Below are 7,890 nucleotides of genomic sequence, written 5' to 3' on the forward strand. Positions count from 1 at the left end.
TCTGTTCTCTACAGCTCTCAAATGTAATTGCATCTGTTAGAAAAATTGCTGTGTGAGGAGGAAGGAGGCCGATTAACAGAGTCTTCATTCCTTCCTCTGTTTCTAACTCTCTTGCCAACATTTCAATCCTGACCAGTCACTTGAAATCATTTAATGATCAAAAAGATAAAGTATGATAAAGTTCATATGGTGAGTAAGATGTGGAGGGAGCAGTAGAAATGTCATCCAGATGTTCCCAGCAAGTCTTAAGGCACCGGTCCCACAAGCAAAGGCCATCAGAGGTGCCCAAGGCCACAGGCACTGTAGACTCCTTTTGGGTGGCAGCTCCAGCAAGAGATGCTTGTGCCTCTGCTCTTGCTAAAATGGTCTTGCGGACCGTATATGTGAAATTTCAATCAGCTGTGCACTTCTTGTCTACTTATTCTACGGAGAATGAGAATTGGTCTTAAAGAAAAGCACAGTACTCAAAGACTGTGTAAGAATGTCCCTTGCAACACTGTTCGTATTTAACAACTTTAGTATCCATTGACAGATAATAGGTACATTGTGGTGAATACAGACAATGTTACCGTAGGCAAAGTGAATGGCTAGAGCTAATGTATCAACATGGGTAAATCTGAAATACAGTGTGTTTGTGTGTGTTATGGGGAAAGTAAATTGCAGAGGGCACATACAGCTTGGTATCATTTATATAAAGTTTTACAACCTACAGAACAATACTAGACAATGTTTATGGGCATATAAATGTATAGGAAACATTTAAAACAGGCATGAGTATTATAAACACTAACTGCTGGATAGTGGCTACTTCCAAGAAGAGATGGGATGGGTGAAGGGTATAACAGGACCCTCAAATGTTTCTGTAATGGTTAATTTCATAAGAAAAAAATCTCAAACAAATATGAGATGAATGACAAGATTTAGTAAAGCTGAGTGATGGGTCCAAGGCTGTTCATCTGTGTATCAGTCAAGTTTTCCTTCAATAATACTGAATAACAAACATCCCTCAAAGCTTACAGCAACAAACTCTTATAACTTGCTCACAGGACTGCCAGCCTCATGTGGCTGTGCAGGGCTTGGCTGGGCTCAGCTGGAGCTGACTCCAGGCTATAGTTTGGGTTTAATATGCTCCAGGGAGTCTGGGGGAGGTGACTCACACCTATAATCCCAGCACTTTGGGAGGCTGAGACAGGCAGATCACAAGCCCAGGAGTTCGAGACTAGCCTGTGCAACAAGGTGGAACCCAGTCTCTACTAAAAATACAAAAAATTAGCCAGGTGTCGTCATGTGCACCTGTGGTCCTAGTTATTTGGGAGGCCAAGGTGGGAGGATCACTTGAGCCCAGGAAGTCGAGGCTGCAGTGAGCTGTGATCATGCTACTGCACTCCAGCCTGGTGACAGAGTGAGACCCTGTCTCAATAATAAATAAATAAATAAGCTTCAGGGTTTCCTCATCCTGGACTAGCAGCTTTCCTAGGATAGCTTCTTTTCATGGCAACGTGCAGAAGTGCAAGAGGCTGATGCAAACACATTTACAGCTGCTACTCACTTCACATTGCTTACTTTCCCCCGGCCACAGCAAGATCGATGGTCAACCTTCCCAACCTTAAATGGGCAGAGAAGTGCACTCCTCCCGTAGAGGTGGAGTGAGGAGAGAAGATTCACTGAACTATAACAAAATCTAGTACAATCACAATCTACTTTAGTCTATTATAAATATTCTCAGGAAAATTAAAAGGGAGTAAGATTCTTGTGACAAGCCACAGAATACTGATTCCTACTGGGATTGCTTTTCTTTTGGGCATCTCTGTCATTATTTAAAAAAAAAAAAAAAAGCAAGCCTGGCTTTCAACATTTGAGAAGGCCCAGAATTTAAAGCTCAGTAGCAGATATTCTCTATGGCTGGTGTTGTGGGGGAGGCTCAACAGTGGTCCGTGAATACACAAGTTCAAGATATACAATCCAAATGGACAAATAAGAGATGCATTCAGCCAAATGATTATTCCAGTAAGAAAGAAAAAATTGTCTTCAATGCTTCTCCTTTTTTTTTTTTTTTTTTTTTGACAGAGTCTCACTCTGTCTCCCAGGGTAGAGTGCAATGGCCCGATCTCGGCTCACTGCAACCTCCACCTCCCGAGTTCCTGGATTCTAAGTGATTCTCGTGTCTCAGCCTCTGGAGTAGCTGGGATTGCAGGGGTGCGCCACCACGCCTGGCTAATTTTGTGTTTTTAGTAGAGATGGGGTTTCCCCATGTTGGCCAGGCTGGTCTCAAACTCCTGATCTTAGGTGATCCACCCTCCTCAGCCTCCCAAAGTGCTGAGATTACCGGTGTGAGCCACCATGCCCAGCCTAATGCTTCTCCTTTGATAAATGTTTTTTCTAAATCTTGGAGGGTCACTTTTCAAAAGTGTTATTTACATACCATGGCTATTAGATATGATGTCTTACATTTGTGTTTAACTTACTTTTAGTTATCCTTTGATACAAGAGAAGAGAGAGAACAGGCGGTGAGCTCAGTCTCTGAATTGAGACTCCTAAATTATTTTACATATAGCTCAAGGTTTTCAATCCAATGTAGGAGCCCAAGCACTGAATCCATTGGCCAGAGATTACTCATGGCTGCCTTTCTTAAACATTTTATAAAAATGGAAACACTACTTTTCTGCAAGTTTCTTTTTTGCCTAAGGCTATCTCTCCTGATGAATACATATGGCTCTACCTCATTCAATTTAACATCTATCTAGTATTCCATTTTAAGGATGGACCACTGTTTACCCAACTAATTCCTTGTTCAGGAACTTGGGTTGCTTGCAGTGTTTCACTATAATAAATTAAACTGCAAAGAACTCACCTTCCATATACACTTTTGTGGGTTTGTGGGGGTGTTTCCGTAGGATAAACTCTTAGAAGTGGCATTTCTGGGTCAAAGATTATATGCATTTTTAATTTTGATAGATACAGCCAAATGGCTCTCCAAAGGGTTGTATCAATTTGCACTCCTGCCAAGAGGGTATGAGAGGGCCCATTTCATTGCTCAGAATTTAAAAGTGCTTAATCAGACACAGGCTTGATGAACACTTCAGAAGCTGTTAGAAAAATACAGAGAATGCATATGTTTCTATTGTGAATATGCCTCTGCTACAATGCTTCCTGGACTCATTAAGTAGGTCCCACCCTGTACTGATAGAGCTTGGTTCCACCAAATTTTTAGCACAGGCCACTTCTAAGAACTTTTGGGAGTGCCCATGCTACAGTGAAGGTTTAGAGAAAGGGTAAATGAAAATGTGAAAATGTAGAACCAGGTTGGCTGAGGCTTTTTATTTTATTTTAAAATTTTAATTAAAAAAATTTTTTTTGAGATAGTATCTCACTGTCACCCAGGCTGGAGTGCGGTGGCTCCATCTAGGCTCACTGCAACCTCCGCCTCCTGGACTTAAGTGATCTTCCCACCTCAGCTCCCAAGTAACTGGTACTACAGGCATGCGCCACCATGCTTGGCTAATTTTTTTCTATTTTTTTGTAGAGATGGGGGTCTCGCCATGTTGCCCATGATGGTCTTGAACTCCTGGACTCAAGTGATCTGCCCATCTCAGCCTCCCAAAGTTCTGTGATTATAGGCATGATAATTTTTTTTTTTTTTTTTTTTTGAGACAGAGTCTTGCTTTGTCGCCCAGGCTGGAGTGCGGTGGTATAATCACAGCTCACTGCAGCCTCCAACTCCTGGGCTCAAGGACTTCTCCCATCTCAGCCTACTGAGTAGGCTAGGAGTAAATGTGCATGCCACCATGCTCAGCTAAATTTTTTACTAAATTTTTTTTTTTTTTTTTTTTTGTAGAGACAGGGTCTAAGCTATGTTGGCAAGGCTTGTTTCAGATCCTGGCCTCGAGTGATTCTCCTACCTCAGCCCCCCAAAGCACTGGAATTACAGGTGTGAGTCACTGCACTTGGCTGGCTCATGCTTTCTACTACTAAGATGCTGCTCTAAGGATCTTGTACTATGCATTTTACAATACCTTTTAAAAAACAATCATTTATGGAAATTGAAGAACAACAACTCTCTTTAACTGAATAACTCCAGTACCTTTACCACAAATTACAAATGGCTTCTTTTCAATGTAGTCTTCATTTTTAATAATGTTTTCAGATTTTTGAAACTCATTTTGTAACATTGCTGAATATTGAATATTGCTGACCTCAATATAGACCATCAGGGAGTCTCATCAGAGCTTTCACCACACACTGTTAGGCAGGCTCGGCAGCAATGTAGCAGAGGGCAGACTCTCAGATGAAGAAACAAGGATGTTGTCACATATCCTGGGCATCTTCATGATGTGCCAAGATGTTGCAATGCTCTGCTGGGAAACCATGGGTGGAGTCAATGTATTGAGGAGACTAAGGTCATAGGTTGGATTTTCAGGTGAACCAGGTGGCCTTATTCTGTCCATGGAACTGGTATCTCTAATATCTGTCAAACACTATGTCCCAGGAAACTGAGCAAGAGTCAGGAGAGACCTGGACTCTTCTACCATGCAGCCTAGAAAATAGCTCACAGCTCCTGACCCCTGATGGTCAGAGCAGAGCATCTTGTTTGACACAGCAATGGGCCTAGTAGAAGGAGCATTGGTCAGGGGGAAGAGACTGAGTTTCCAGCTGTGACCAGTGTGATCTCTGGCAGGTCAGCTAACCTGTTTGCACCTCTGGGTTTTCATCTGTGAAAGGAGTATTAGGCTCAGTGATGTCTAATTTTCCTCCTTCTGTTCTAAAATCTCATCATCATCTTTAACTGGTGTGGTGCCAGGAGACCCTAGAAGAAATTCTCCTTTGTGGGAAGAGTTAATCAGAGTGCCCAGGTGCAGTGACTCATACCTGTAATCCCAGCACTTTGGGAGGCCAAAGTGGGAGGATTGCTTGAGGCCAGGAGTTTGAGACCAGCTTGGGCAACATAGTGAGAAAAAGAAAGAAAAGAAAGATGGGAAGGGAAAGGGAAAGAAAAGACAGGAAAAGAAAGAAAGGAAGAAAAGAGAGAGGAAGGAAAGGAAAGGAAGGAAAGGAAAGAAAAGAATAAAAGAACAAATCAGATTAAGCACATTTGCAAATGTGTTCAACCTTGGCCACTTGCTTCTTTTAAACTGGTCCTTCTCAATCTTTGTTGCACATGGAATCACCTGGGGAGTGTTAAAAATGCTCGGTGCCCAAGCTGTACCCCAGATAGATTACACTAGCATTTCTGGGGCAGGGCCCAGGCATCAGTGGTTTTTTGCTTGTTTGTTTTTTGAGATGGAGTCTCACTCTGTTGCCCAGGCTGGAGTGCAGTGGCGCTATCTCAGCTCGCTGCAACTTCCTCCTCCCAGGTTCATGCCATTTTCCTGCCTCAGTCTCCTCAGTAGCTGAGACTACAGGCACCCACCACCGCACCCGGCTAATTTTTTTTTTTTTTTGTATTTTTAGTAGAGACGGGGTTTCACCATGTTAGCCAGGATGGTCTCGATCTCCTGACCTCATGATCCATGCGCCTCGGCCTCCCAAAGTGCTGGGATTACAGGCTTGAGCCACCGCGCCTGGCTGGCATCAGTGTTTTTAAAGCAATTCCAGTGTGCAGCTAAGGATGAGAAGCACCGATGCTGGCCTTTGGTCAAGAATCCTGGAAAAGGGGCTTATCTTCAGGCTCCAGAGTCATCTGTGCTCTCATCCGTCATGCCTGGTTGCTCTCCCCCCTACTCTCTGGTGACCTTTTAAAAAGTTAATTCTTTCCCCTCTTTTTTGCTCTGGCTTGTCATTGAACTCACCCAGCTGATTGTGGCGCTTATGATTGAGAACCTCTTCTGACCGCTTCCCTTTCCCCAGAAATTAACATGATCATTAAGGCTTATAATTTTACTCACCAGTGCTATCAATCAAGGGGCTGCAAAAAGGAGTTAAGAGTCCTTTTGTAATTGGCAGCAGCCTGTGATTTGGAGCAGAGCATCCAGGGTCTGTGGGAGGCTGGAGGTAGGGAGGGCCTGGGGTGCAGGGAGGGCTCTGTCCCCCTTGAGCTGACTCCCAAAACTTCCCCCAGGGGCTAGAAAGCTTCAGTCTTCCTCTTCCCTGAATATCAAAATAAGGAAGCCAGTTCTTGCCAATGGGACTCCAGGCTCACCCCAAGCTCTGCAATAGGAAGGAAGGTCTCTCACAGCATCCCTGGGATAAGGAAGATCAGAGAATTCTGTATACACTAGGCAACCCATGTCTGGCTGAGGAGGGGCAGTGGGCCCAGATTATCTGTAGTTCAGAAGTGGGGTTGAGACTGTCAGACCCAAGGAGGTGATCCATCCTTCCCTAGTCTCCTTGGAACTTTGTTTAGGGCAACAAAAATGGCAGCTGAACCTGATGCAATGCACCCTCTGCGGCTCCCCGCAGCCCAGGTAACTCCATGCTCCTTCCACATGCAGCGAGCTGCAGAATCACAGTGCCCCAGGACAAGGGCTGACCTTCCCTTCTGGGAGGGCTGGGCTGTCTGAAGACATTTCTGACCCATGCAGTGCCTTGTGGAATATTTTATAGATACATGGTAAGTGGTATGTATGCCAGAGGTGATAGGGTAGTTATTCTCTCTCTCTCTCTTTTTTTTCTGTTTTTGAGACAGCGTCTCACTCTGTCACCTAGGCTGCAGTGCAGTGGTGAGATCTCCACTCACTGCAACTTCTGCCTCCCAGGTTCAAGCTATTCTCCTGCCTCAGTCTCCCAGATAGCTGGGATTACAGGTGCATGCCACCATGCCTGGCTAATTTTTGTATTTTTTAGTAGAGATGGGGTTTCACCATGTTAACCAGGCTGGTCTCGAACTCCTGGCCTCAAGTGATCTGCCCACCTTAGTCTCCCAAAGGGCTGGGATTACAGTCATGAGCCACCACGCCCAGCCCTATTTTATTTCAAATACAACATTGTAACAACATGAAAGTGATTTATTTTTATTTTCATTATTTATTTATTTAAGATGGAGTATCACTCCGTCGCCCAGGCTGGAGTGCAGTGGCGCAATCACAGCTCACTGCGACCTCCGTCTCCTTGGTTCAAGCAATTCTCCTGCCTCAGCCTCCTGAGTAGTTGGGATTACAGGCGCCCACCACCACGTCCGGCTAATTTTTGTATTTTTAGTTTTGTATTTTAGTTTCACCATGTTGGCCAGGCTGGTCTCGAACTCCTGACCTCAAGTGATCTGCCCACCTCAGCCTCCCAGAGTGCTGGGATTACTGCCAAAGTGGCATGAGCCACTGCATCCAGCCTTTTTTTTTTTTTTGATAACACTATAGGAAAATCTGGAGAGGGATAAATCACCTATAATTCTACTTCTCTAATACAACTATTTTATTTTTGCCTATTTTTTTCTATTTCCTGCACATGTACCTATGTATTTTAACATAATTGTAATCAGAGTAAACATGTTTTGCATTCTGATAGCCCTCTTAACATTCGATCACTGACATTGTTAGTAGTGGTTATGAAGTCTAGAATTCCTTTTGGTGTTTGCATAATAATTCTGTTACTTGGTGTGTGCCATCATTTTACCTGCCACTCACTGTTTTGGCTAATTAGGCCCAACAAAAATGTTTAAGGAAATCAGTTCGCAATATACGAAACAGCATGACTATGACTTACCCGTGGAGATTAGATTCCCAGTTCTTACCTCCTAAGAGTGGGACTCAGCAAGTGTGAGGTAGGGCCCTGGCACCTGCATTTCACAACCCTGATGCCATTGGTCCTCACTCTGTACTTCCTGAAACACTGCCCTGAGGCTTGCTGAGTTTCTTCAGGGACCATCAATGATAGGGGCTTGGTTACAGCCACCACAGAAACACCAAGAGCAGTTGCTTTCATCTTCCTTTCCAATTAACACCAAGGTTGGGCAGAAGA

The 7,890-nt window shown here is 44.1% G+C and overlaps 1 annotated feature.

Moving 5' to 3' along the window:
• Positions 5,521 to 5,815: a silencer, noted in NCBI's record as "tiled region #5034; HepG2 Repressive non-DNase unmatched - State 22:ReprW". NCBI's record gives its function as "represses a minimal TATA promoter and a strong SV40 promoter by Sharpr-MPRA in HepG2 cells {active_cell/tissue: HepG2}" and the evidence as "EXISTENCE:reporter gene assay evidence [ECO:0000049][PMID:27701403]".

The sequence above is a fragment of the Homo sapiens genome, chromosome 6 (genome assembly GCF_000001405.40).
Source record: "Homo sapiens chromosome 6, GRCh38.p14 Primary Assembly".
Taxonomy (NCBI): domain Eukaryota; kingdom Metazoa; phylum Chordata; class Mammalia; order Primates; family Hominidae; genus Homo; species Homo sapiens.